We start from the raw sequence: 27,691 nt of genomic DNA on the forward strand, positions 1-27,691 counted from the left end.
TGCAGGCCCCGCCCCTCCGTGCCCCTCGCAAGGCCCTCTGGGAGTTGTAGTTCCAGCTCCTCCTCGGGCCGCCCCACTCCCTGATAATCCTGGAGCGCGGCGCCTCCCGGGGACCGAGGCCTCGGGCCCGGCCGTCTCCAGCAGCGAGGGCAGGAGAAGTGGCCCGGGCGGTCGGCGGACTGGGAGGGCGCCACCCGAGGACTACAACTCCCGGCCTGCCTCGCGCAGGCACCGCCCCGAGCTTCCGCCCCGTCGGCGCCGCGCAGCCCTGTGGGAGCCGTAGTCCGGGCGCGCGATTCACAGCGCCGCGTGCGCCCCGGGCGCGCCGTAGCCGCGGGGCCCGGGCCGGGCGCTACGCTACGAAGGCAGCGTAAGGCGGGCGCCGGACGCGGGCAGGGGCCGGGGCCGGAGCCGGGTCGGGGCGCCCCGCGGCTGAGGAGCGGGAGGCCGTCCGGGCAGCGCGGCCGGCGGCGAGAGGGGCCCCGCCGCTCTCCGGAGGCAGAAGTTGTGGATCGGCCGGCGGGGGCGAGCGGGCCCGGGGGCCGGGGCCGCGCTGCCCGGGCCGCGAGGACGAGGCGGCGCCGCCGGGCTGTGGAGGTGAGTCCCGTCGGCCGGGCCCGGCCGGGCGCCCAGCCGGGGACCCCGGGCGGGGAGCGCGGGCCCGGAGGGCGGCGGGGAGCGCGGGCTCGGCGGGGCGCAGGAGGCCTCGGGGGCCGGGCGCGCCGGGCTCCGAGCCAGGGCAGGGACGGCAGGGCCCCCGGAGTGGGGTCAGCCCGCCGCCCGCTGGCGCCTCCAGGCTGGTGGGGGCCAGGGCTGGGCGATGCTTCGCAGAGGAACCCAGAGGAAGGCGGGAAGTCGGCAGGGACCTGGGCCATGTGGGTCACTTGAGGCCAGCCCCGGGGGCCGCGCACACCGGAGGCGGCCTCGGCCCTGCCTGCCCTTGAGTGCCCTTATATCCGGGCCCATCGTGCGGTCCTGGCCGCCTTAGGGATGTTGTGCTTGGTGCGGGCATCACTCCCCTCACTTGGGGAACGGCCTGGGGGCGGCCACCTGGCGTGGAGGGGCTGGCGGGAGCCCCGTCTGTGCCAGCCATGCCAGTGTTCTCTTCCGTGTTCCTCTGGGGCTGCTGCGGCACCAGCTGGGAAGTTGCAAATCTGCTGTCCTCCCGCTGGCTGCAGAAGGGGCCCCTCTAGTCCTGACCGGGGGAACTCTTGTGTGGTCAGCTGGCCCTGGCCGGGCGAGCTCTCGGGGCCCCCTTACTGCTCTGGAGTTTGTTACCGGACTGCAGGTAACAAGACCCGGAAAGCAATGGTGAGGCCCAGAACCTGAGGCCAGGCCTGGGTGTGTGGGGCCAGTGGGGAAGACTGGGACTCCGTTGGGTGCTGAAGAGTTGTGTGCTTCTCCTTCGGGAAACCCGGATCTCTTCCTCTGCCCAGGTCTGAGGGGTGCGGAAACGTGAGTCACAGTTCAGTGTGGGAGTGCCCCGTAATTGCCTCCGCGTTTCCAGAGTCTGGGGCTGGGCAAGGATATAGGGGTGATTCTCCCTTCCGGTTCTGAGTGACTTCTCAACTGTGAAGTGGGGCAAGAGAAATTGTTTTTCTGGCCTGTCTGGGGGAGGCAGGTCCTGCAGGAAACCAGCTTGGCCTGGCCTTGGGTTGGGTGTGCCTTGCCTCCTCCGAGGTCCTTCTGCTTGCGGGAGGAGCACCCCTCTTTTTCCTGCTTCTGTCTGTGTCTGAGGCTCTCCAGAGCTCCTTGATTGGCAGAGGAGCCAGTGACCTCTGAGTCCCCAGGAGAGCCCGAGGCTCAGTAACTGCATAACTGCGCAGGGCCTCTTGTCTGGGCCTCCACAGACCGTGGTCTCTGAGAGCAGGAAGTGGCTGGTCCCCTGTAATGCTGCATCTGTGTGACAGCCTCAAGCCCTGCTGGCTCTCTCTCCGGGCACCCCTCACTTGCTTCTTGCCCTGGCCTTGGGCAGCACTCCGGTAACCCCAGTGCCACAGGTGAGGAACCGAAGCTGGAGACAGCTGTTCATGGCAGGGGAGGGGCCGAGGGAGGCTGAGCGCCTGGTCTCTCCCTCCTGCTGGTTCCACCAGTTCACACGAGGCAATTGGAGGGAAGGATTCTGCTGCCCGGAAAATCCTCCGGAACCACAGGTGTTGTTCATGGGCCTGAGCCGCTCAGTGAAGAACTCGGCCGTTGGTGGCCGAGTTGCCCCTGGTCCAGCCCTCTGGCCCGCGGTGTGATGCCTCTACTCATGGCAACAGGCGTGGACAGGTGCTGAGAAGGAGGACGACATCATTAAACAAAACAGCTTGGGGTCTTTGAAAAACAGTGACAGAAACCCAGGAAGGCTGGTGACTTGTCAGGTCTGTGTCTGTCCTGGGTGGCCACTCGGCCCTGGACCGTGAGGCTGAAATGACAGGAGACACGGAGGGTGGGCTTGGGTGGTTTCCTCATAAGACACAGAAGAAGGAGGCCCCCAACCCGGGGGCTGCCTCGTGCGCTTTGCTCTCCTGTTTTCCTGCTCTGTCCCTCTGGTCCTGCCCTCTGACCCCTGGCACAGCAGGAGTGCCCAGAAGCCCAGTGGGACTTGTTCTCTGCCTAAAGCCCTTCCGCATCCCTCGTACCCACTCGGTGTGGATGTGGGTTTTCTCACCACCAGGCTGTGCCTCAGCTGTGTGGAGCCACTGGCCTCTCATGCCCCACGCTGGAGAGAACGCTGAGGTCTGTGCGGTTCTCATGTGACCCTGTAGCTGGTCCCTGGCTCCCCACTGTGGGATCTGCCTGCAGCACTTACACTTGGGACCGCCCTGTCTCCCTGCTGGATGTGGCGCCGAGGGCAGGGTCCGTTTCTGTTTCTTGGTAGGCCTAGTGTCTAGCGCTATGCAGCCGTGCGCAGAGCAGGCGGTCAGTGAGCACCTGGGGTTGGCCCTCACCACAGGCAGTTCTGAATACCTGGGTTCTGGCAGCCCAGGGGGACTCCTGCGTGCTCCAGGAAAGTAGCACAGCAGCCCCTGTGGCGTGGACACGGCCACACCTGAGCTCGGCCTGTTTCTGAGTCTGAGAGAACAGGCTTGCTGGCCTGTGATCTTTGCATGTGTGTCTCGCTGCAGGGAGGCTGTGGGTTGGGGCTGGACCTAGACCCGTTCAGCCACACCCTGTCACTATGTGGGTCACACACAGCTGGGTGGAGACCTCCCGGTGCGTGGCCCAGGGAGGTGTCTGGGCGTGGAGTCTGTGGACAGCCACATTGTACCACTAGGACAGGGGCTGCTGCTGGGCCCACAGGGTGCACGGAATGGGGTCTGTGGGAGGATGGGGGCATCCTAGCCCAGGGCAGGGACCCCGTGGGCCCCCCAAGATGAGCTGCGTCAGGCTGTTGCTTTGCACACTCTGAGGGGCCTGCCTGAGTGCTGCATGGGAAGCCAGCAGTGTGGCCGCCCTCCCCAGAACTCATCCAGGGCACCAGGGTGGACCCATGAGTCCCGTCGGGTCATGGGCATCAGCCTCGCCATCCTGGCCTCCAGATACAACGATTTGTCAGATTCCCTGAGGTCAAAGGGAAGCTTCAAGGGTTGCCATCCCCGCCTCCCTGGCGGTCCTAGACGGGATGTCAGGAGGACGCAGGGCCATCGCTGCTTTTTAAATGTCACAGTGACTGCAGCGTCTGCTCCTCTGTGGAAGGAGCTTGCTCCGCTAATGAGGGAGTTCCTCCTCATGGCCTTCCCCTCACTTCTCTTCAAAAAGTTGCCCTTTATTTTAACATTTTTTAAGTTTTATTTTTTTGAGCCAGGGTCGTGCTCTGTTGCCCACGCTGGAGTGCAGTTGCAATCATAGCTCGCTGCAGCCTCAAACTCCTGGGCTCAAGTGATCTTCCTGCCTCAGCCTCCCAAATACTGGGACTACAGGTGGGCGCCACCACACCCAGCCTCTGCCCTTTGTAAGTGAAGTCCCCCAGGCAGGTTGAACCTCTTACACCTTCTGCCCCTGCCTGATCCCCACTCCCTACCCCCCACCTCCCTGTCCCCTGTAATGAGAAAGGCAATAAGTTTTGGAGCTTTCTGGAGTTCCTGCCCCTCCTGAAAAGGTGGCTGCAGAGAGGCTGGAGCTGATGGGGAAAGAGGTGCCACGAGGCCTCCTCTGGGTTAGGGCCACACGGCTCCCAAGGCCCCCGTCTCCTTCTCTGGGGTGACAGGTGCCCCCAGGGCCACACGGCTCCCAAGGCCTCCGTCTCCCTCTCTGGGGTGACAGGTGCCCCCAGGGCCACACGGCTCCCAAGGCCTCCGTCTCCTTCTCTGGGATGACAGGTGCCCAGGGCCACACGGCTCCCAAGGCCCCCGTCCCCTTCTCTGGGGTGACAGGTGCCCCCTGTGTCCCAGAGGCTTCTGCTTGGCCACCAGTGAGGTCACCGGGCTGCCCAGACCAGGGCTGCTTCTGCCACCACATGGCAAGCAGAGAAGTAGAGAAGTGCCAAAAACCACGAGTGCTTGTCTGGTCCTTTTTTCCTGTTAAAAATAGAAGTCGGGGCTGGGTGCGGTGGCTGACACCTGTAATCCCAGCCCTTTCAGAGGCCGAGGCAGGTGGGTTGCCTGAGGTCAGGAGTTCGAGACCAGCCTGACCAAAATGGCGAAACCCCATCTCTACTAAAAATAAAAAAATTAGCTGGGTGTGGTGGTGTGTGCCTGTAATCCCAGATACTCAGGAGGCTGAGACTGTAGAATTGCTTGAACCTGGGAGGCGGAGGTTGCAGTTAGCCGGGATGGCACCACTGCACTCCAGCCTAGGCGACAGAGCTATACTCCGTCTCAAAAAAAAAAAAAAGAAAAAAAAGTAGAATTCGGTTGGGCTCAGTGGCTCATGCGTGTAATCCTAGCACTTTGGAAGGCCAAGGTGGGTGAATCACATGAGGTCAGGAGGTAGAGACCAGCATGGCCAACGTGACGAAACCCCCATCTCTACTAAAAATACAAAAATTAGCTGGGCGTGGTGGTGTGTGCCTGTAATCCCAGATGTTTGGGAGGCTGAGACACTAGAATTGCTTGAACCCGGGAGGCAGAGGTTGCAGTGAGTCGAGATGGCACCACTGCACTCCAGCCTAGGTGACAGAGTGATACCCTGTCTCAAAAAAAAAAAAAAAGCCAGCCGCTGTGGCTCACGCCTGTAATCCCAGCACTTTGGGAGGTCAAGGCGGGTGGATCACCTGAGGTCAGGAGATTGAGACCATCCTGGCTAACACGGTGAAACTCCATCTCTGCTAAAAATACAAAAAAATTAGCCGGGCCTGGTGGCAGGCGCCTGTAGTCCCAGCTACTCGGGAGGCTGAGGCAGGAGAATGGCGTGAACCCAGGAGGTGGAGCTTGCAGTGAGCCGAGATCACACCACTGCACTCCAGCCTGGGCAACAGAGCGAGACTCTGTCAGAGAAAAAAAAAAAAAAAACAGGTGATGCCTGTGCCACTGGACACACCTGCACACCATCCTCATGCTGATCACAAAAGAGGGTGAGGGGCCGGGCATGGTGGCTCATGCCTGGAATCCCAGCACTGGGGGAGGCCGAGGCGGGTGGATCACCTGAGGTCTGGAGTTCGAGACCAGCCTGACCAACATGGTGAAACCTCGTCTTTACTAAAAATACAAAAATTAGCTGGGCACGGTGGCGGGCGCCTGTAATCCGAGCTACTTGGGAGGCTGAGGCAGGAGAATAGCTTGAACCTGGGAGGCGGAGGCTGCAGTGAGCTGAGATTGCACCACTGCACCCCAGCCTGGGTGACAGAGCGAGGCTCTATCTCAAAAAATAAAATAAAAAATTTAAAACCAACAAAAAAGAGGGTGATGGCTGAGTGAGGAGTCCATGGTGGGCCCTACACAGGGCCCAGGAAGGACAGGGCGGGAAGCGTGAGCATCCTGCCCACCGCAGTGGGTCCGCCATGGAGAGCATGACCTTAGAGAAGCAAAGCCGCCTGGCTCGAAGCAGTGGCCGCCCTGCTGACAGCTGTAGTGGCCGGGTGGCACTCGGGCTGGGGTCCGGGGGAGTCTAGGTGGCCACCTGGCTGTGTGCCTGTGCCTGCCCAAGCTGGGCACCTTTCCCTGGCAGTGCCTGGGAAGCTCGGCCGCCCTCCCTGGCTGGTGCTGCTCTGCAGCCCCGCTCATGGACTCTTGCCCACGGCCTGCTCCTTGTAGCAGGGTCGGGCCGTGGGAGGTCCGGACAGGATCTTGAATGGCCCTGTCTGCGGTCCTGGCTGGCCGGAGGTTGACCGCACTGGACAGGTCAAGGGCCTTAAACCAGGGTAGTGAGGAGCCTGCTGAGCCCCTGCTGCTCCCCGGGCTGCCTTTGGCGCTCGGACAGACACCCAAGGACAGAAGCTCGGACAGCTTCTAAGGCGAAGGGTCTCCCGGGGCTGATTTCCCGGGACTCTGGCTCCTGCAGAGAGGGCTGGAGGCGGGGCTCTGTGTTCCAGGGTCAGAGTCCTCCTGGTGGAAGCTGAGGTGCCTGATTAAATGCCTCCCTTTCTAGGCAGCAGCCCAGACGCGGCACAGAGAGGGCCTGGGAGCTTGCTGCAGCTTCAGGTGAGTTTGTTCCCAAGCCCTGCGGCTCGTTTATGGGTTTGCTTGCGCTGCAGAACTGTTTGTGGAGCAGCAGGGTTGGAGTGCCCACGGCTGGGGGGCCTCTCGGAGCCCTTGATTCACAGAACCCCTGGAGGCCGGCAGCCCTGCCTGCCCTGAAGAGCCTCGTTCTCCCAGCCGTTTGGGCCGTGGTCCTGTCGTGGGAGGCGACGGTGAGGGCGGCCCGGGGTCCCGACAGGGGTGTTTGTCCCTTTGGGGACCTCCCCTGTGCTGTGGCCCCGGCCCCCAGATGGAGCTCCCCATCCCCACGGCAGCGCTGGGGCTGGGGCTGGTGAGGAGCCTGTGCACGGCCCCCACCGCTATCCTCAGCCAGGAGGGTGCCTGGTCCCTGGGGAGCGGCCTGCACCTGTTTCTGGAGAATGCTGTCCTGCCAGTTGTCATTTGGGGCGGGCGGTCGGAGTCCACGTCCTCCCCCAGGGCGGGGCCCTGGCCTTGTTTCTTGTAGGGACGATGGGAAGCCCTGTCCTCAGCCCTCCCACCCGACTCATGCAGGAGCTTCCTGTCCTTGGGGTCATCTCCTCCACAGGGGCCTTAGCGTCAGTGGGGACAAAGGCAGAGTTGCCTGTCTTCAGGTTGTGGGCACCGACTGAGCTTCGTCCCGGTAGTGGCTGGCTCTTGTTTCCTGCCTGGACCAGCAGCCTCTGGTCTGGTGGGTGCAGTTTTAGGGCGCAGTGGGGTTGCCGTGGGGCAAGGCCAGGCCACCAGCTGCCTGGACACAGGGGCCCCCGCTTTCCATCTGCTGCCCCCCACACCCCCAGCTCGGGCAGGGGTGACACCGGGGCATCCTTGTTGGGGTCGCTGTGGTTCCCATGGTGGCAAGATGGCTCTGTGAAAGATTGACGGAGATGTAGGGCCCAGGAGCAGGTGCTGTGTGAGTGGGACACGCCTGTGTCACCTGCGGGGCAGGGGAGGGCTCGGGGGTACAGCCGTGTACATGATTAGTTAGCGAGACAGTGAGGAGTGTATGCGGAGTGGACACAGCTGTGGGTGCCGCCCGCGCAAGGCTGGGGGTCGCTGTGCCAGCCCTGCTCCCATGTGGGCTCCCAGCTCCCCAGGTAGGGACGCTGACCCCGGGAGGTGCCTTTGCCTGCATCCACTGGAGCCTCAGGAGCATGCGTTCCGTCCCCACGGGTCACCCCCACTGAGCCCACCACCTACCGAGAGGCACCTCGAGACCCTGTCCTGCCACGGGTGGGCTGTCAAGGCCAGCACCAGAGACCCCCAGCAGACCTCAGTGGCCGCAGATGGAGCGGGGCGGCAATGGTCACCTCCGGGACTCAGCCCTGTGCTGAGCCCCGGGCAGTGTGATCATCCTGGCCCTTCTCGTGCACGTCCCCTGGCTGGATGCTCCTTGCTGCCCTCACGGGGTGTGTGTGTGGCATACAGGACAGGGACCGGCCAGTTGGCCCTGCTCATTAACCACTTGTCCCCACAGGGCAGTGGCGGCCTCACCTCTGCAATTCTCTGAGGCTGGATCTAGGCCACCGCCCCGTTTAAAACTAGGGCATCGGCTCCCAGGGAGGGCGGGGAGCTGCACAGTTGGACTTGTGGGGGTCAGGCATGGATCCACACAGCCCGGGGCCCTCCGCACCCTGCCCCTCCAGGGAGCCCAGAGGCGGGCGTGGCTGCAGCCTGGCTCTGTGGCAGTCATGAGTCACGGCCACTCTTGAGGCGCCGCCCTGAGAGTCAGCCCTGTGGTCACGGCTCCTGCTGGTTCCCATTCGCGAGCACCTGAAACAGCCTGGCCCACAGCAGAGGCCCGGGGGGCACATGCAGCTCACGGGAGCAGCACAGATGCTTGGCCGGCGGCAGGCCCTACAGGAGCAGCAGCGGCCCAGGGCATGTCCCTGGGGTCAGGGGTCAGAGTTCGGCATGCTCTGCGGGGGCCTCACCCTGCTGTCCCTCGGCCTGGCCTGGGCACACTCCTTGGTGACAGTGCCCCTGCACGCCCCCCCCCCCCCCCGGTTATTCAGACAGGGAGCCAGGATGGGAACCACGGACTGACCTGACCTGCGTCCTCGGGGCCACTGCACTGGGTGATTCACGTGTGCCCAGGCCCTGAGGTGGGCCGGACCTGGGAGTGGCAGGTGAGCGTTCCTCCCAAGAGCCTCTGGCTGGCCGCAGCAGGCCCTGTCCCTGCTGTCCTCAGTGGCCCTGGACATGATAACCCCCCTGCCGAGGTCTGGCCGGAGCCAGCACCCACGGCCGAGATGCAGTCAGCCCTGGCTGGGCGCTGTCCCTGGGGGTGGCTGCTGGTGCTGCCCTCCCTCCTTCCCACCACTTCTTGCTCCTCTTTCCTGGGGCCCTCCCATCGGAGTCTTCCTCCTAAATGCAGTTCCCTCCCTCTAGGGGAACGCGGGCTGGGAGCCTATTTTTTTTTTTTTTGAGACGGAGTCTCGCTCTGTCGCCCCGGCTGGAGTGCAGTGGCGCGGTCTCGGCTCACTGCAACCTCCGCCTCCCGGATTCAGGCCATTCTCCTGCCTCAGCCTCCCAAGTAGCTGGGATTACAGGCGCCCGCCACCACGCCCAGCTAATTTTTTGTGTGTTTTTAGTAGAAACAGGGTTTCTCCATCTTGCGCAGGCTAGTCTTGAACTCCTGACCTCGTGATCCACCCACCTCGGCCTCCCACAGTGCTGGGATTACAGGCGTGAGCCACTGCACCTGGCCTGGGAGCCTTTTCCGTAGCTGCTCATCCTGTACTAGCATCTGTCCATCATGAGTGGACGGAACACAGGGGGACCCAGGACCCACAGCTGCACTCGGGAAGGCCAGCAGGGTGGATTTCGGGAAGAGCATCGGTGCCAGTTTCCCACAGTCACCCTTGCGATGGGACCCTCAGGTTGGCACGTGGCTGGCAGCTGTGTCCCGGGAGCTCTTGCTCCTTAGTGGGCCTCGCCAGCCAGGGCAGGGCCCCCGGCACCCCTCACGGGGCTCTTGACTCCTCTGGCAGCGGATCGGGGCGGTTCAGCGATACCATCTCTGGAGATCCCCTGGCGTGTGCTGGAAAAACCCCGGAGAGGGCTTAACAGAGCCAGCTGTCCAGCCTCTGTGACAGGGACGTTTGCTTTTCTCTGCAGGGTCCTCTCTTCTCTTCCGAGCACCCACGGGAGGGGACTGTGCTGTCCCTGCTCTCCTAGGACAGGCCTCCCTCCTGTCCAGATGGGGCCCACAGGGTCAGTTGCCTGAGACTGGCTCCAGCTCAAGAAAGGTTTTCTGAGTGAGCGCAGGGGAGCAGGAGGCTGGTGAGCAGCTCGCTTCCTGCCCTGGGTGCAGCTGGGCACCACTTCTGCCTTGGGCCTAAAGGCATCAGTGAGGAGCAGGCGGGGCCTGGTAGGAGCCTGTGTTTCTAGCGGCACGCGTGACCCCAGGTGCCACGTGGGTGAGTGCGTGGGTGGGTGAGTGGCGAAGGAGCTGAGGTTGGCCCTGGCAGGTGTGCAGTCCTCACACAGAACGGGCAGGGCTCCTGTCAGAGCCAAACCAGCTCAGGGCCCAGTGCAAGCAGCTTCTGTCCCGTGGCACCTCCGCTAGTCGCCGCTCCCACCCAAGCCCTGCCCCGCCCTGACCCGCTCAGGGTTTGGCTACAGAAGGGGAGTGTCGGAAATGCCCAACCCGTCTCCCGTGAGGGACTCCTGCGTGGCCTGGGCTGGGGAACGCAGGGGCCGTTTGGGTGGTTCCGGCGTCTGGCGTAGCCACGCGAGAGGCCCTGGGTTGATGCGTGGGCTCCCTGCTAGCGAGCCTGCTCCGTGCGTGCTGGGCTCCCGGCCTTGCTTCCGTGTGGCATTCGAGACCCCGTGGACCTCGCCTGCGTCCTGCATGTTTGAGCGCTGCCCCTTGTGGAGGCCGCCAGCACTGGTGGCTGCAGGGCCTGTAGTGTGGCACGTCCAGAGACCCGGCCTGGAGAACGGGTCCTGGATGTCTCCGTCATGTTTTACGTTCGCTTCACACGGACGCAGCGATGTCTCAGATACCTCGGATCACACAGAGCACGTCGCCAAGGCTTGTTTTGTCTGTTCCTTTCCACCTGTCTTACGTGGATACCAGGAGATCCGCCACGACTCCCGTGGCCCCGTCCACACTGCGCGGCGCTCTCCGGCGTGGCCGCCAGGTGCCCCTTCGAGGGCAGGTGTGAGTACAGGGTGGTCCCTGTGGAGAAGCGCCTGCAGGCGAGTGAGCCAGGCTGTGCCCTGCTGACCCCGAGGCCTGAATTTCATGGAACTCCCACCTCTCACAGAGTATTGTTTTTTTTTTTGATTTTTTTCCAACCATTTAAAAATGTAAAAGCCATTGTTGACTTGCGGGCTGGACCAGGCTTAGGGCTGGGCTCTGGTCCGCACCCCACACTGGCCCCGTGTGTCCTGTGACCGTTCTGCCTACGGGGCAGGCCTGAGCCACCACAGGATGGCAGGGTCTCCAGGGTGCAGGGCCCGCAATGCTTCAACCCTCCCACGACCCCAGCACCTTCAGAGAAAACGGACCCTCGTGCCGAGTGAAGTGGTTCAGGCGAACGTTATCACCACACGGGGGACTCGGCGGCTTCTGCCCCAGGCCTCAAAGGAGAGGGGATCCAGAATTCTCTGTCTCACCCCCTCAGCCCCTGCCCTTGAAGCTTCTGTCCCCAAGGCTGTGGGGAGGAACCAGGGAAGGGCTGGCGCGTCTGCTGTGCGATCCCAGGTGCTCGTGCCTCGCTGAGCTCAGCCCCTGTGGCCTCAGAGCTGCAGGCCCCTCCCGGGTGTCAGAGCACTGACTGGAAAGGCCCCCCACATCCCTGCCCTCTGCTGCTCCCCATCGTCGCGGGGGAGAAGCTGGAACTGCACCCCCACCCCCCCCAGCCCGCTCACCTAGGGCTGCCCCCAGGCCTCCCTGAGCTCCAAAGGATATGTTCTTTGGTGCTTTTTTTTTTTTTGGCTCTGTCTCCCAGGCTGGAATGCAGCTGTGGTGCTCACGCCATCCTCCCACGTCAGCCTCCTGAGTAGCTAGGTCTACAGGTGCACACCACCACACCCGGATAGTGTTTAGTTTTCTATAAAGACAGGGTCTCACTGTGTTGCCCAGGCTGGTCTCAAACTCTTGGGCTCAGGTGATCCCCCACGCACGGCAGCTTTGACACTTACTTGACCCTTTCCTCCTAAGCTCTACCCTGACGCTGGCTGTGTGTCCCAGAGACTTAATCAGAAGCTGGAAGAAGGGCTGTGACGTGTGTGACAGCAGGAACTGCTGGTCAACCCACAGCCGGCCAGCCTGCCGGGACGCCATCTTGGCCCCAATCTTGGCAGGGAGAGGGGAGTGTATCGGACTCTGGGGAGAGCAGCTGCCTGCACGGGCAGGGTCCTCCCGTCTCAGGATTAACGTTCTCAACTGTATTTGATTTCTCCTCAGCCAGAGGGGGTAAGGTGGCCTTCCCAGAAGCACAGGTGGGCCGCGTGTCAGAGGCCCTGGACAGCCTGTGCCTCTCCCAGGCCTCCCAGCAGGGGTGGCTCTCGCCCCTCTGGAGGGGAGACCCCAGGAACCGGCCCCCGCCCTCAGCCATAGCCTCACAGGGTCCTTGTTTCTCGGGGCCTGGCTCTGTGGGTGCACAAGGCATGGTCGGGCTCCCGTCCTTCTGGAAGTCTCCAGAGTGGCATGTGGGCAGCTGTGTGAAGCGGCCCCCCAGATCTTCATCCAGCCTGGCCTGCAGCAGCTCCCTACGCCCTCTGCTACCTCCCCTGCCTACCTTTGGGTAGACGTTCTCTTGACCCTTCCTTCTGTGATAAAGCAAAAGCGTGTGATCTCTTTTCTCACCAAGGAATAAAACGTCTCTGAATACCACAGACGTGATGCCGGGCTTTTGGGGGCCGGGGGGTGTCCTAGGGCCCCGAGGGAGGAGCCCTGTGGGTGCCGAAGTCGGGCCGCAGGCCCTGCACTGAGATGTCCCCTCAGCCTACCCCAGGCGGCTGGGCATGCTGGGAAGTCCTCCCGGGCTGTGTGTGTGAATCATGCTGTTTCTTCTCTATTTTCTCTCTCTGTCTGTTTATTTTTGTTGTGTGTCACTCTGCCCAGCCGGCCGTCCTGTCTCTTCCCTCCATGCTCCGCTTCGCCCGCTGCTGGCCAGAGGTGACCAGGTCCGGCTCTCAGCACGGCCGCCGGCCGGGGGGCCATGGGGAGCTCCGCCTCCTCCCTGGCCGCAGAGACCGAGTCGGACCACAGCTTCCCCGGGGGACCGCCCTACCCGGGTCCCCCGGCAGCGGCTGGCTGGTGTAGGAGCGGCCCAGGGGGGCCCGTCTGGGGAGGTGCCCTGGTCAGCCGGCAGCACCAGCCCCCACGGCCCCGGGCCCGAAGGTAAGAGGTGGGGAGGGGTGGCCCCGGAGGGCTCCCGGGGGCAGAGGGCCTCGTTCTCAGGGTGCCCCCTCCTTGGCAGAGGTGCTTGCAGAGAAGTGGGTCCCTGCTCCTTCCAGTTGTGGCAGCTCTCTTCCCCAGGGTGCAGGAGCTGAGCAGGTCTGAGACCCCGGCCTCGGCCTGGCTGGTTGGTGGTGGGGATGGGGGCTAGTGCGCCCAATCCCGGCGGCCCTGTGTTTCTCACAGGCTGTGCTGCTCCACGCAGAGAAGCTGTTCCTGAAGCTTCTTTTTGGGCTGGGGTCGCTGGCGGCTGCAGGCTCTGGGCATATTGCCTGCTGCCCACGGTTTCAAAGCTGCCAGCACTCGCTGGGCTCCGCCTGCTGCCCCCCCGGGGGTCACAGGCCACATGGCTTGGTGGCCGAACTCCACGTGCTGGCTCCTCACAGCTGTCACCATGGCCTTGGCTACCCGCTGCGTCCCTCAGGAGCTGCCATCAGGTTCTGAGGTGCCTGGTCTGGAGGCAGTCCAGGTGGTGAGGTCTGGACTGGCTGGACCCCACCGATGCTCCTGCCGTCACCCCGTCCTGGCCCTCACTGGAGGCAGGGACACTCAGGGGCCCGGGGCCTCGGGGCCAGTGCTGCAGTGGCCGCCGTTGCTCTCACAGCGGGTCCAGGCCTGGCTTCTGAAGGCAATGTGCCTGCGTCTCACACTCAAAAGGGCCTGCCAGGCTGCACCTGGCGGCAGCTCCCACGGGGGACGATGTCCTGCTGTCTGTTGGCCCCCAGGTGGGAGGGACGGGCGTGGAGCTGCAGGCAGTGGGCAAGGCCATGGCAGGTGGCCAGGCCTGGGAACCAGCCTCCAGGTGGCATCCACGCTGAGGCCTGAGCTCCGGCCGACAAGGACTGGGGATGCAGGGGATTAGCCAGGGGCTGTGTGGGGGAGCCCTGGAGCCCTGTCTGCGAGTTACCCCGATGAACAGGGAGACGCGGCAGAGGCAGGGCCGGGGAGGGGCCGTGTGGGGGAGCCCTGGAGCCCTGTCTGCGAGTTACCCTGATGGACAGAGAGACGCGGCAAAGGCAGGGCCGGGGAGGGGCCGTGTGGGGCCTGGTGGTCGGCAGAGGAAGGGTCTGTGCTCCTCCTGCGTGTGGTGGCACCGGAGCGCCTCCCAGTTCCTGGTGTTACCGCACCAGCCGCCTCCCAGTGAGCATCTCCACGTGTGCCGACAACAGCTTTGTTGAGGTAGAACTTACCAGACTCACCTGTTAAAAGAGTGCAGTTTGGTCACTCTTAGTGGTTTGTAGAGTTGTGCAGCCGTCATTGCAATCCAGCGTTGCAGCATTCCACAGCCCACAGGGACCCCCAGCCCCACAGTCCAGTGTTACAGCATCCCGCAGCCCAGAGGGACCCTCAGCCCCAGACGGCCACTGACCGGCTTCCTGTCTTGGTTTGCCTTGTGCAGAAGGTGCGTGGATGTGGGGCCACAGGACGTGGCTGGCTGGGTTTGCCTTGTGCAGAAGGTGCGTGGATGTGGGGCCACAGGACGTGGCTGGCTGGGTTTGCCTTGTGCAGAAGGTGCGTGGATGTGGGGCCACAGGACGTGGCTGGCTGGGTTTGCCTTGTGCAGAAGGTGCGTGGATGTGGGGCCACAGGACGTGGCTGGCTGGGTTTGCCTTGTGCAGAAGGTGCGTGGACGTGGGGCCACAGGACGTGGGGCCCCGTGTCTGGCCTCTTCACTCGGCACCGTGCCCTCCAGATTCATGCACCTGCAGCCCGAGGCAGTTTCATTCACTGCTCCTTTGCGGGATGAACCGCATTTTATCTATTCATGGACGCTAGGACTGCTTCCACGTGGCTTCTGTGGACAATGCTGTGAACATTGTTTACGAGGTTTTGCGTGGACCTGTTTTCATTTATCTTGCATAGATACCTAGGAGTGGGATTGCTGGGGCGTGTGGTGAACTTTCATAATGTCTTGAGGAACTGCCAAGCCATCTTCCGCAGCGGCTGCATTACCTAGTTCCCACCGGCAACGCTGGGGAGGGTCCTGGCGTCTCCACTCCCTCGACAGCTCCTGCCGTTGTCTGTCCTTGTGATTCTGGCCGTCCCAGGGGGTGGGAGCTGGTGTCCCCTTGGCTTTGATCTGCGTTTCCCTGGTGGCCAGCCATGTGGGGCCTCTCTCCCTGTCTCATCCACCCGTGCCTGTCTTTTTTTCATTCATTCACTTATTTATTTATTTAGAGACAGGGTCTTACTCTGTCACCCAGGCTGGAGTACAGTGGTGTGATCACAGCTCACTGCAGCTTCTACTTCCTGGGTTCAAGAGAACCTCCCATCTCAGCCTCCCAAGTAGCTGGAACTACAGGCGTGCACCACCATAGCTGGTTAATTAGAAAAAAAAAATTTGGCCAGGCGCAGTAGCTCACGCCTGTAATCCCAGCACTTTGGGAGGCCGAGGCGGGTAGATCACCTGAGGTCAGGAGTTCAAGACCAGCCTGGCCAACATGGTGAAACCCCATCTCTACTAAAACAAAAATTAGCTGGGCGTGGTGACGGGCACCTATAATCCTAGCTACTAGGGAGGCTGAAGCAGGAGAATCGCTTGAACTTGGGAGGCGGAGGTTGCAGTGAGCCAAGATTGCACCACTGCACTCCAGTGTGGGCGACAGAGTGAGACTCTGTCTCAAAATAAAAATACAAACCCTGAGCTTGGGAGGGTCCAGGCTGCAATGAGCTGCGATCGTGCCACCGCACTCCAGCTTGGGCGACACAGTGAGACGCTAGACGGTGTCTCAAAAAACTTAAACAGAAAAATGTAGAAAGGATTGTCGTTCCCTTTCTCGTTTTCCAGAGGGCAGAGGACTCTCGGCCCCTGCTTTTTGAGCACCAGGCCGAGTTTCAGACCTCGGGATGGCCTCTCCAGTCTGCAGCTCCCGGCAGCCTCGGGCCACACTCCCGGGATCCCCAGGGACTGGCCTGGGACTACCGGGGGTGGCGGCCGTGGCTCTGGCTATGGGGAGGGAGGCAGAGCCGCGGGGCAGGCGTGGGGTCTGCTGTGCCGGGTATGTGGGGCGTGTGTTAGACTTTGGACCTGGCCTGCGGGGTCAGGCCGTGGTGTATGATGACGCCACGCCGCTCTTTCTCTTTCACCCTGGCCTCCTGCCTGGCCCTCCCCTGGGTCGGCATCCCTGGGGCCACTCCTGCCCGTGCCCGCTGCTGTGGGGCCTGGGCTCCAGGCAGCTCCTGTCTGCTGCTGCAAACAGGCCCCCAAGGTGCATGGTGAGGAGACCCCCAGGCTAGAGATGGGCGAGAGCGGTGGGCGAGCAGACTGCGGGAAGGCAGCTGGGCCTCCACACGCGGAGCCCTCCCCACCACGTGCATGCACAGGCGACCCCTGCCGTGCTCCGACGGAGGGCGCCGGGACTGGGGAGGGTCAGCGCGACAGCCCTGGCGTTTACTGAAGAGCTGCCTGCCTGGCTCGCTGCCCTGGTGGCCGCTGAATTCTCCCAACGCCCCAGGACAGCAGGTGCTGTGGCCCCATGACCGCTCCCCCACATGGATGAAGGGGTGGTGCACAGGCTGGTGGAGCCTGGGAGAGCCAGGGCAGCCTGCGGCCATGCGGCCATGCGGCCGGCGTGGGGCTGAGGTCCCTGTACAGCTGACAGAGTGCCTGGCGCCCTCAATCAGTAAGTCATCTACGGGCCGGGCACCGGCGGCTCAGCACAGAGAGGCAACAAGGGTAGACCCCCCCTGGCAAGGCTGACCGGCGCCGGGCTGTGGCCAGACCAGGAGACTGCAGCCCAGCTCGAGGGAGGCACCACGCCTGCCCCTCAGAGCACTGAGCAGAGCCCCCCATGGTATCCCCCGCCCTGGGCACAGCAGGAGGAGCTGCCGACCAAGTCTGGCACCCCGGTGTGCCCCGAGAGCTGTCTGGGCACAGGTTGCGGGGCTGCCCCGGCCGGACGGGGCATCTGTGTTTCTCGGTGTGGCCTCAGGGCTCTGGTGGCTTTGACCGAGGCCCCGGGGGACAGAATGCAGCTTCCTGCTCCTCACTTTTCCTAAGAAAGGGGCCGCCTCCCAGGACTGGGGCTGCGCCAGTCACAGGCCCGCGGCCTCCACGCTCCGGGTGCTGCTGTCCCGGCTGCTTCAGGGCGGGCTCTGTCTTGCACGCAGCGAGCGGCTTCATCACCTCCCTTTTGAATTGGAGCTGAGTGTCGGCAACGCCCAGATAACTGGGGCGCGCGGGTCTTTTGTGCTGGATTTTTCTGTACAGTTGCCTCGATCTTCCATCCAGCTTGGCCTCTGTGCAGTAAGGAGCGGCCCGTCGCCTCCCCCACGTCGCCTCCCCCACGTCGCCTCCCCCACGTCGCCTCCCCCACGTCGTCGCCTCCCCCACGTCGCCTCCCCCACGTCGTCTCCCCCACGTCGTCGTCTCCCCCACGTCGCCTCCCCCACGTCGCCTCCCCCACGTCGCCTCCCCCACGTCGCCTCCCCCACGTCGCCTCCCCTCACGTCGTCGTCTCCCCCCACGTCGTCGTCTCCCCTCACGTCGTCTGCCCTGAGCCCGCTCCCTTCGAAGGTAACCATCCTGCAGTAGTGAGGGCTCCTTGCTGAGCACGTGTGGCTGCGACTTCAGGAGCGTTCTGGGTTGAGAATTCCAAAAGGGCTTCGCTCAGGCCTGGCTTTGGGTCTTTGGGCTCCTGACGCGAGCTTTTACTTCCAGGCTTTGGCGGTCTGGCCTCAGGAGGTCAAGGCTGCAGTGAGCCGTGCGCGAGCCACTGCACCATCCTGGGCAATCAGACCCCATCTCTAAAGTTCAAAACAACATCTTTGTAAGGGTTTCGGGTCTCTGAGCCCATGAACCTGCCCAGGCCCTGCAGAGGTGAGGGTGGCCCTAGAGTGGCTGGGGGGTTGTGGAGACCAGAACCAGGGCAGAAGGGCAGGGAGGGTGGGGGCCCTGCCGAGGTCTCCCACCGCTGACCCCTGACCCCTGGCCCCCTTCCACCTCGGCCCACCGAGAGAGGCCGGCACAGCGCAGACTGCGGGGTCAGTGACACTCCCCTCAGCGTCTCCAGCCACAGAAGGGCCGTGGCCTGCCTTCGCCCTCCTCACCCGTGTCCCGGGGCCACGTTTGAACTTTAGGCCTTGTTCTGACTTCATTGAAACCCTCCTGAAGTGCAGACGTCTTCCTGACCCACCTGGGTTTTGCCAGGATGACTCCGAAAGGTGTCTCCCAGCAGACACACCCCGCTGGCGATTGTTTGGTCCTGGGGACCCGGGTTCTCATTCTCCTCTCTGGAGCTGGTGAGGCTGTCCTTGCTAGTCGGTGACAACTACAGGGCCAAAGGGAGGGTGTGTCCCAGGAGGCCCAGCCCACCTCTGCCTGCACCTGCGGTCAGCGGGGTGCAGAGTCTGTGAAGGCACCTCCCGGAGTGGGGGCTGCAAAGATCATGGCCACTGTGCCACCCACAGGGGCCCAGGCCGGACGCCTGGGCTGTGCCGCCTCGGCAGCCAGGCCGAGGAACGTGCAGGTGCGGCCGGGAGCCCGCCGGCCACAGCTGCATCCATGCCCTTCTCCGAGTGGTGATGGCGGGGAGAGGCCTGGCTGTCTACGGGCAGATTGCTTGGGCTTTCACAGAAGCCCGCTGTTAGAGCAGATTCCCGGCCTTGGGTCTCTCTGCTCCAGCTGGACGCCCTGAGCCTCGCCGGGCCCAGTCCACCCCCGTCCACTCTGCCAGGGGCAGCTCAGAGCCCTCGCCACGCGGGGCTGAGCGCAGGGAAGGCAGCATCACGGAGTTCGCTCGGCTCCACAGAACACCCGTGTTGCTCGCGGAGACTTTTTGTTTTTGTGCTTCTTATGAAGAGGCAGGTTTTCTTTCTTCCTGAACCAAAAGGGTTTAGATGGAGCACAAGATTCAGGCCATATTTACAAGAACAATTGATTTTTCTGCCAGGCAGAGCAGCCAGTCTGTCTCGGAGGCTGTGCTGTGGTGTGGGGAGGCCCCTTGCTCAGATCAGCCTGTGCCTTCCCCAGGCCCCGGCCCATGCACCTGCCCTTCCGTAGGTCTGAGCACCTGTTCTTCCACGCCCAGGACGACCTGGTCCTGAGTTTGGCCGGGACCCCCTGCTATCTGCCGTCCACAGGCCTGGTGACAGAGAAAGCAGTGCCCTGGAACAGCAGCCCGGCTGTGGGGTGCTCAGCCCTCTCTGTAGGATCCTGTGTGGCTCAAGGGGTCTGCTGAGCCTCCAACGGGCAAGAGGGGCCCTGAGCCATGGATCCATTCTGGGTGGAGGCAGCCCCCACCGCCGCCTGCCTCAAATGCTCAGCCCTAGGCCCTCGGCCCCGTAGCTCTGCAGCCACAGACGGGTGCCTTCCCCAGGCCGAGAGGAGGGTGGGGTCCAGCCACTCAGGACCTCACAGGGTGGCCCTGATGAGCACCTTCCCTTGCAGCCACACCCACTCGCCCGGGTCTATGGCCACGGTCGGAGAGTGGTCCTGTGTGCGCTGCACCTTCCTGAACCCGGCCGGCCAGCGCCAGTGCTCCATCTGCGAGGCTCCCCGGCACAAGCCCGACCTCAACCACATCCTGCGGCTCAGCGTGGAGGAGCAGAAATGGCCCTGCGCCCGCTGCACCTTCCGCAACTTCCTGGGCAAGGAGGCCTGCGAGGTGTGCGGCTTCACCCCGGAGCCTGCGCCTGGGGCTGCCTTCCTGCCAGTCCTCAACGGGGTCCTCCCCAAGCCACCCGCCATCCTGGGGGAGCCCAAGGGCAGCTGCCAGGAGGAAGCAGGTCCAGTGAGGACTGCGGGGCTGGTGGCCACGGAGCCCGCCAGGGGGCAGTGCGAGGACAAGGACGAGGAGGAGAAGGAGGAGCAGGAGGAGGAGGAGGGAGCGGCGGAGCCCAGAGGGGGCTGGGCGTGTCCGCGTTGCACGCTGCACAACACGCCCGTGGCCAGCTCCTGCTCCGTCTGCGGGGGCCCACGCAGGCTCTCGCTGCCACGGATCCCTCCTGAGGCCCTGGTGGTCCCGGAAGTGGTGGCCCCGGCCGGCTTCCACGTCGTGCCTGCCGCGCCTCCACCTGGCCTCCCCGGGGAAGGTGCCGAGGCCAACCCCCCAGCCACCAGCCAGGGCCCAGCTGCCGAACCAGAGCCGCCCAGGGTCCCGCCCTTCAGCCCCTTCTCGTCCACCCTGCAGAACAACCCCGTGCCGCGCAGCCGACGCGAGGTTCCCCCCCAGCTGCAGCCACCGGTGCCTGAGGCTGCCCAGCCGTCACCCTCTGCCGGCTGCAGGGGAGCCCCCCAGGGCTCGGGCTGGGCTGGGGCCTCCCGCCTAGCAGAGTTGCTGTCTGGCAAGCGGCTGAGTGTGCTGGAGGAAGAGGCCACGGAGGGTGGCACCAGCCGCGTAGAGGCCGGCAGCTCCACCTCGGGCAGTGACATCATTGACCTGGCCGGAGACACCGTGCGTTACACGCCCGCCAGCCCCTCCAGCCCCGACTTCACCACCTGGTCATGTGCCAAGTGCACGCTCAGAAACCCCACAGTGGCCCCCAGGTGCTCGGCCTGCGGCTGCTCCAAACTGCACGGCTTCCAGGAGCATGGCGAGCCCCCCACCCACTGCCCCGACTGTGGGGCCGACAAGCCCAGCCCCTGCGGCAGAAGCTGCGGACGGGTGTCCTCGGCCCAGAAGGCCGCCCGCGTCCTGCCCGAGCGCCCGGGCCAGTGGGCCTGCCCTGCCTGTACCCTGCTCAACGCACTGCGGGCCAAGCACTGCGCCGCCTGCCACACGCCTCAGCTCCTGGTGGCCCAGCGGCGGGGGGCCGCGCCCCTGAGGCGCAGGGAGAGCATGCACGTGGAGCAGCGGCGGCAGACAGACGAGGGCGAGGCCAAGGCACTCTGGGAGAACATCGTGGCCTTCTGCCGGGAGGTGAGGCGCCCCCTCGCCCTCTTCCTGCTCCTGAGCCTCCTGCTCCCGCCCTCCCCTTCCTAGGCTTTGGGCTCTGGCGATGGGCTGGGGAGGAGCCCACAAGGCCTAAGACGTGATGGGGAGGGCAGCACCCTCCGCCCCGAGGCTCCAAGCTCCCAATGGCCCTGGGGTCCAGCTTGGCCTCCTGACCCTTGGTCCTTGCTGGTGACCGAGATGCACGACCTTCACCCCCCTCAACCCTCCACCGTGGCCAGGAGGGCCCCGAGCCCCGTCTGATGTGCCGCAGGAGGCGAGGGCTTCCCAGGGGCAGCGTGGAGACCCCGCTGAAGTGCGAGGTCGGGATGTACCCGTGCTCCGCCCTCTAGAGTCCAGGATGGCATCACCCACGGGTCAACTGGGGCGCAGCCTGCACCCTCCCCAGCAGGGCCAGGGCCAGAGTCGTGCTGCCACCCACTGGGGGCTGCGCTGTCCCCCTGGGCCCACACGTCCCCTGCTCCTCACCTGTCGCCAGCCGGTGGCCTCTCCACTAGGGCTGAGGGCTTCCTCGACACAGGGCCGGCGCCAGGTCTGTGGCTGTCCACGCTCCACCCGTCCCTTTGGGGCTCAGGCAGTGCTTTTGGGCGCTCTCCTGGGTGGGGTCTTGTCCCTGCCAGGTGGAGCGAGGCCACCCTGCCCAGCCTGAGCACATGGCCGTGGTCTCTGCAGAACAATGTGAGCTTCGTGGATGACAGCTTCCCTCCCGGGCCCGAGTCTGTCGGCTTCCCCGCGGGTGACAGCGTGCAGCAGCGTGTGAGGCAGTGGCTGCGACCCCAGGAGATCAACTGCTCCGTCTTCAGGGACCACAGGGCCACGTGGTCTGTGTTCCACACACTGCGGCCCTCAGACATCCTGCAGGGGCTGCTGGGGAACTGCTGGTGAGGCCTTCTCCAAGGCCGGGGTGGGGCGGGTGGGCGGGCGACCGGCCGCGGTCCCCGCGAGGTCACCCTGAGGCTCTGCGCAGGTTCCTGAGCGCCCTGGCGGTGCTGGCGGAGCGGCCGGACCTGGTGGAGCGGGTGATGGTCACGCGCAGCCTGTGTGCAGAGGGCGCCTACCAGGTGCGGCTGTGCAAGGACGGCACGTGGACCACGGTGCTGGTGGACGACATGCTGCCCTGTGATGAGGCCGGCTGCCTCCTCTTCTCACAGGTGGGGCGGCCTGCAGGGTGGGCACGGGCGGCAGGGGCAGCCTCTGACCCCAGCCCCGAAAACAAGGCCGGCTGCTTCCTCTTCTCCCAGGGCGGGTAGTGTGGGGGGCGGGCGGGGGTGGCCTCTGACCCGGCCCTCTGCAGGCGCAGCGGAAGCAGCTGTGGGTGGCCCTCATCGAGAAGGCGCTGGCCAAGCTGCACGGCTCCTACTTTGCGCTCCAGGCGGGCCGCGCCATCGAAGGCCTGGCCACGCTCACCGGCGCCCCCTGTGAGAGCCTGGCGCTGCAGCTCAGCTCCACTAACCCCCGCGAGGAGCCCGTTGACACTGACCTCATCTGGGCCAAAATGCTGAGTTCTAAGGAGGCTGGGTAAGAGGAGGGGCACTGCGTGGTCAGCCGCGTTGGGAGGAGAGGCGAGGCGGAGCGGTGGGAGATGTGGGGCTGGTGGCCCCTGACCCAGTTCTGCTTCCACGAGGTGCCCCTGGCGTGGGCTGACCCCGCGTGGCCAGGCCACAGCCCCAATCACCTCCCCCTCCCTGGGCGGGGCTGGAGCTGGCCTTCTCATGCCAGGAAGGCCACATCCTGGCCAGGCCGTGGGGCGAGACCGATGCCGTCACCCCGGAGCAGGTGTGAGCGGCGTGTCGAGTTTGACCTGGGCCGTGGGGCGAGACTGATGCCGTCATCCGCCTCGGGGCAGGCGTGAGCGGCGTGTCGAGTTTGGCCACACTCTGGTCAGCGGGTCTGTGCCTCGACCCCCAGGGGCCTCCTCGGAGTGCCCCGGTGCGAGCACCTTGAAGCTCCCGGAGCCCTCCTCTCAGCTGACCCTGGGCAGTGCTGCTGCCCACCCCCCACCCGCCCGGGAGCCACAGAGCCCAGAGCCAGCCCCACAAGGCCTCCAGGGGACCCAGGCCTGCCACCCCTGACTCAGGCCCTGTGCGCTTCAGGCATGGTGGAGGGGGCTGGTCCAGACCCTCCTGAACACTTCACGTGGTCCCTACAGGCAGGAGTGGGCCCTTCTCTGCTGCGCCTGCCTGTCTTGGTGGCAAGGTCGCGGCCAGCGAGGGCACTGGTCAGCAAGGCCCCGGTCAGTGAGGGCCCCGCTCAGCCATGCCCCCAGTCGGTGAGGGCCCCACTCAGCCATGCCCCTGGTTAGTGAGACCCCCTGTCAGTGAGGGTTCCCTGTCGGTGAGGGTCCCCGGTCGGTGAGGGCCCCCAGTCGGTGAGGGTCCCGGTCGGTGAGGGTCCCCTGTCGGTGAGGGTCCCCGTCGGTGAGGGTCCCGGTCGGTGAGGGTCCCCTGCCGGTGAGGGTCCCGGTCGGTGAGGGTCCCGGTCGGTGAGGGCCCCGGTCGGTGAGGGTGCCCCGTCGGTGATGGCCCCGGTCGGTGAGGGTCCCGGTCGGTGAGGGTCCCCTGTCGGTGAGGTCCCTGGTCGGTGAGGGTCCCGGTCAGTGAGGGTCCCCTTTCGGTGAGGGTCCCCTGTCTGTGAGGGCCCCGGTCGGTGAGGGTCCCCTGTTGGTGAGGGTCCCGGTCGGTGAGGGTCCCCTGTCGGTGAGGGCCCCGGTCGGTGAGGGCCCCGGTCGGTGAGGGTCCCCGGTCGGTGAGGTCCCCGGTCGGTGAGGGCCCCGGTCGGTGAGGGTCCCCGGTCGGTGAGGGCCCCTGTTGGTGAGGGCCCCGGTCGGTGAGGGCGCCCCGTCGGTGAGGGTCCCGGTCGGTGAGGGCCCCGGTCGGTGAGGGTCCCCAGTCGGTGAGGGTCCCGGTCAGTGAGGGTCCCCGGTCGGTGAGGGTCCCCTGTCGGTGAGGGTCCCGGTCGGTGAGGGCCGCTCTGCCACACAGGTTCCTCATGGGTGCCTCCTGTGGCGGGGGCAACATGAAGGTGGACGATTCGGCCTACGAGAGCCTGGGCCTGCGCCCCCGGCATGCCTACTCCATCCTGGATGTCCGAGATGTCCAGGGCACCAGGTAGGGCCGGCCTGGCTGAGGGTGGGTGGGGTGCCGGTGAGACTCGGGCAGTGTGGTTCAGATCCTCACCCCTGTGGTCTGCAGGCTTCTGCGGCTCCGAAACCCGTGGGGCCGTTTCTCCTGGAACGGCAGCTGGTCCGACGAGTGGCCACACTGGCCGGGGCACCTGCGTGGCGAGCTCATGCCGCACGGCAGCAGTGAGGGTGTCTTCTGGATGGAGTACGGCGACTTTGTCAGGTATCGGCACCGTGGGGCGGTGTGCACGCCGCCCCCGCCCTCCTAGGGCCGAGTCCTTCTCTGGAGAACAAGCCTGTCCCTCCTGCTGACCTGGGGTGGGGCGGCTTGTTCGTGGCCCAAATGGGACCTGGAGCTTCAGCTCCAAGGTGCCAACCTCAGAATTCAGGTCCACCCAGGTCAGCAGATTCCAGCGCCCTGAAGAGCCGGCCCTGGAGGGCTTCCTATTATAGGCCTCAGGGATGGGCCCCCGGGGGCCGGGCTGCAAGAGGACGGTGACGGAGCAGCTGGCACCTGCTGGGGTCACCGGCCTGTGGTTGCGGTAGGCGCTGAGCCACGGAGGTGTGGGCCGTGGTAGGCTCAGGGCCCCGTCCTCCCGCCACCTGCAGGTACTTCGACTCCGTGGACATCTGTAAGGTGCACTCGGACTGGCAGGAGGCGCGGGTGCAGGGCTGCTTTCCCAGCTCGGCCAGCGCGCCCGTGGGGGTAACAGCGCTCACGGTGCTGGAGCGGGCCTCGCTGGAGTTCGCGCTCTTCCAGGAGGGCAGCAGGTGGGTGCTGCGGGGCCCCATCGGGCTGGGCTGGGCTAGGCTGGCGGCCGTGACCACGCGTGACCCTGGCCCGTGGTGTCTGGCGCAGGCGCTCGGACGCCGTGGACAGCCACCTGCTGGACCTGTGCATCCTGGTGTTCCGGGCCACGTTCGGCAGCGGCGGCCACCTCAGCCTGGGCCGCCTCCTGGCCCACAGTAAGCGCGCGGTCAAGAAGTTCGTCAGCTGCGACGTCATGCTGGAGCCTGGCGAGTACGCTGTGGTGTGCTGCGCCTTCAACCACTGGGGGCCGCCCCTGCCGGGCACCCCTGCCCCCCAGGGTACGTGGCCCCTACCCCAGGCTCATGCCCCAGGCCCACGGGGAGGGCTGCGGTTCACACGCCCGTCCTTGTAGCCTCCAGCCCCTCGGCAGGGGTCCCGAGAGCCTCCCCAGAGCCGCCGGGCCACGTGCTGGCTGTGTACAGCTCGAGGCTGGTCATGGTGGAGCCCGTGGAAGCCCAGCCGACCACGCTGGCCGACGCCATCATCCTGCTCACCGAGAGCCGCGGAGAGCGGCACGAGGTGGGTGGGGGTCCCGGGGGAGGGTGGCGTGGGGCAGGGGGAGTATGCCCCAGCACCTCCCCTGCCCCACAACTGCCATTCCTGTGCCCAGGGCCGTGAGGGCATGACCTGCTACTACCTGACACACGGTTGGGCGGGGCTCATCGTGGTGGTGGAGAACCGACACCCCAAGGCCTACCTGCACGTGCAGTGTGACTGCACCGACAGCTTCAACGTGGTGTCCACACGCGGCAGCCTGCGTACCCAGGATAGCGTGCCACCCCTGCACAGGTGCGCCCCCGCCCCTGCCCCCCCACCCCTGCACAGGTGCCCCCTCCCCTACCCCGCTGCACCCACACCCAACTCGTGCCCCCCCACCCCTGCACAGGTGCCCCCTCCCCTACCCCGCTGCACCCACACCCAACCCATGCCCCCCCCACCCCTGCAGAGGTGTGCTCATACCCCTGCCCCCACCCCTGTACGGGTGTTTGTCACCCCACTCCTGCTCCTGCCCCTGTACAGGTGGGCACAGCCCTGCCCCCATCCCCACCCTGCCCTCCACAGGTCCTCACCGGTCCCCTCCCCCAGGCAGGTCCTGGTGATCTTGTCCCAGCTAGAGGGCAACGCCGGCTTCTCTATCACCCACCGCCTGGCACATCGCAAGGCAGCCCAGGCCTTCCTCAGTGACTGGACAGCCTCCAAGGGGACCCACAGCCCCCCACTCACGCCAGAGGTCGCCGGTCTGCATGGGCCCCGACCGCTGTGACCACCATGCCTGGGGCAGGGGCTGTGCACAGACGGACCCCCCACCCCCACACGCACTTTATGAGGGAGACCCCGACAGAGGACGCTTGAGCCAGAATCTCAGGACCCCGCCCAGGGAGCTGCCAGCCCAGGGCTCAGCTTCCCATGGGCCCCCCGCCCCCCTCCTTCCCCTCCCTGAACCCCACAGTCCGCCTGGCCAGGCCTCCTGGCCGCCACGCAGAATACCTCGAACCAGGCGGGCTGTGAACCAGCCCCGCTCACCTGCCAGCCCCAACACCCGACGGGGGCCGAGGCCAGGCTGCCCCTCCCTGTGGGCTCAGGGTCTCCTGCGGGCTAGGCAGCCAGGAGCTCTGTCCGCAAAACCAAATCTGGGTGTCAGAGGCCAAGACCCTGGGGTGGGATCAGGGACCACCCCTCACGGGGCATAAGGTCAGTTTTCCCCCAGAGCCCGGGTCCCTGTCCCCCACAGGGCAGGCGGGGTCCCTGGAGCCCTGGTGTGGAGCGGCGAGTCCCGGGGCGGTGCCTGTCTCAGAAGAAGGGGCCCTTGGCCAGCCCCCCAGCGACACTATGCAAATCCTGGAGTGCCCGCCAGGATCGAAGCCATGACTGGGTGCAGGCGGGCGCCAGGCCCGCTGTGGGTGGGCACCAGTTCTCAGCACCGCTCACTGCTGCCGGGCACACTGGGACCAGCAGGCTCCTCAGCCAACCCTGTCCCTCGGCCCGGCCCTGCCAGAGAGGGACCCCAGCACATCGTGGGCACGGGCAGGGCTCAGCCGCTCCCACCTCCCCACAGAAGCCCAGGAGTGTGTGGACGTCTGAGCCCAGCTTTCTGCGTGCCCTCCTGGCCCCTCACTCCCGGCAGCGGGCCGGCCTCGCCCCCACTCCCCCTCCTACCCCGGCAGGGGCTTCCGGGGCCTTTTCACCTGGAGAAACATTCCCACTCCCCTTTGGCCTCCCTGTACTCTGAGCTGTGAATATTTTTAACCCTGTAAATACGGCCAGCTCTTGTGACACAGAGACTATTTTATCAATTGTCAGTCCCGTTCCTTTACCATAGGATTCTCCACAGTGGCTTCCGACTCAGGCTCCAATGGACCAAATAAAAGCGTTTTGTTTTGTAATCACGCCTCCTCCTCCTGCTGTTGCCCCGCGCAGGGCCCTGTGGAAGGGCGGGGAGGTTGCAGGTCTGAGGGGTAGGCCCTGCCCAGGCATCCCGGGCAGGCGGACGGGTGGGGGCCCCTGGAGATGGCCGTGGTGGGGTGACTCACAAGCTTGTAAGGGGCAGCCGGCCCTGCCAAATGGACGCAGCCAGGAAGGACGGAGTGACTGGGCGGGGGCAGGGGTCAGACCCTGCGGCCGCAGCCCCAGGGCCGGGAAGGACTGGGCAGACGGGACAGCAGCGCATGCAGCTTCTTCCAGCGAGGCATCCGCACGGGGGGCTCTGTCTGAACCCATCAGTCACCCGGCAGGAGCAGATGGAGTGAGGGGGCGCGTGGGGAGAAAAGTTTCCTGTCCCCTCCCAGCCTCGTCCCAGGGTGGCCTCTGCCCCCACACGGGTGCTGCTGAGCAAAGCGCCCGCTCGGAGGCTCTGCTGTCTCCCTGGACGGA

The 27,691-nt window shown here is 65.2% G+C and overlaps 1 protein-coding gene and 2 non-coding genes across 18 annotated transcripts, besides 1 other annotated feature; all 3 read left to right on the forward strand.

Annotated features, from left to right (window-relative positions):
- Positions 1–279: 279 nt before the first annotated feature.
- Positions 280–27,204, forward strand: CAPN15 (calpain 15). Of its 16 annotated transcripts, none has more exons than XM_047434525.1 (15): positions 280–597; positions 6,514–6,566; positions 8,597–8,710; positions 9,205–12,939; positions 19,385–20,855; positions 21,561–21,769; positions 21,856–22,039; positions 22,183–22,406; positions 23,870–23,995; positions 24,080–24,232; positions 24,619–24,780; positions 24,869–25,098; positions 25,173–25,339; positions 25,431–25,609; positions 25,883–27,204. In XM_047434525.1, exons 4-15 carry the CDS (start codon positions 12,758–12,760, stop codon positions 26,082–26,084), a joined length of 3,489 nt encoding a protein of 1,162 aa, XP_047290481.1. In that variant the 5' UTR covers positions 280–597; positions 6,514–6,566; positions 8,597–8,710; positions 9,205–12,757; the 3' UTR covers positions 26,085–27,204. The 16 variants fall into 16 exon arrangements, with proteins under 16 accessions (XP_047290481.1, NP_005623.1, XP_011520927.1 ...); XM_047434526.1 differs by lacking the exon at positions 280–597 and having other exon boundaries at positions 6,524–6,566; positions 9,205–10,003; positions 12,661–12,939; XM_047434527.1 differs by lacking the exon at positions 280–597 and having other exon boundaries at positions 6,524–6,566; positions 9,205–9,866; positions 12,661–12,939.
- MIR5587 (microRNA 5587) lies at positions 7,884–7,936 on the forward strand. The gene has a single exon (NR_049852.1). It is a non-coding gene; the product is annotated as a microRNA 5587 (primary transcript).
- MIR3176 (microRNA 3176) lies at positions 15,845–15,934 on the forward strand. The gene has a single exon (NR_036137.1). It is a non-coding gene; the product is annotated as a microRNA 3176 (primary transcript).
- Positions 18,385–18,552: a silencer, noted in NCBI's record as "fragment chr16:595817-595984 (GRCh37/hg19 assembly coordinates)". NCBI's record gives its function as "represses an EF-1alpha promoter that drives an FKBP-Casp9 reporter gene in an ReSE screen in HepG2 liver carcinoma cells {active_cell/tissue: HepG2}" and the evidence as "EXISTENCE:reporter gene assay evidence [ECO:0000049][PMID:32094911]".
- Positions 27,205–27,691: the final 487 nt, after the last annotated feature.

Source organism: Homo sapiens, chromosome 16 (genome assembly GCF_000001405.40).
Source record: "Homo sapiens chromosome 16, GRCh38.p14 Primary Assembly".
NCBI lineage: Eukaryota > Metazoa > Chordata > Mammalia > Primates > Hominidae > Homo > Homo sapiens.

What these genes read in the sequence shown, in the direction of transcription:
- CAPN15 (XM_047434525.1), top strand. Translation starts at nt 12,758, where the DNA reads ATGGGGAGCTCCGCCTCCTCCCTGGCCGCAGAGACCGAGTCGGACCAC. An exon ending in CGAGATGTCCAGGGCACCAG is followed by an intron (nt 23,996 to 24,079) that starts GTAGGGCCGGCC and finishes TGTGGTCTGCAG; the next exon opens with GCTTCTGCGGCTCCGAAACC. An exon ending in GAGTACGGCGACTTTGTCAG is followed by an intron (nt 24,233 to 24,618) that starts GTATCGGCACCG and finishes CGCCACCTGCAG; the next exon opens with GTACTTCGACTCCGTGGACA.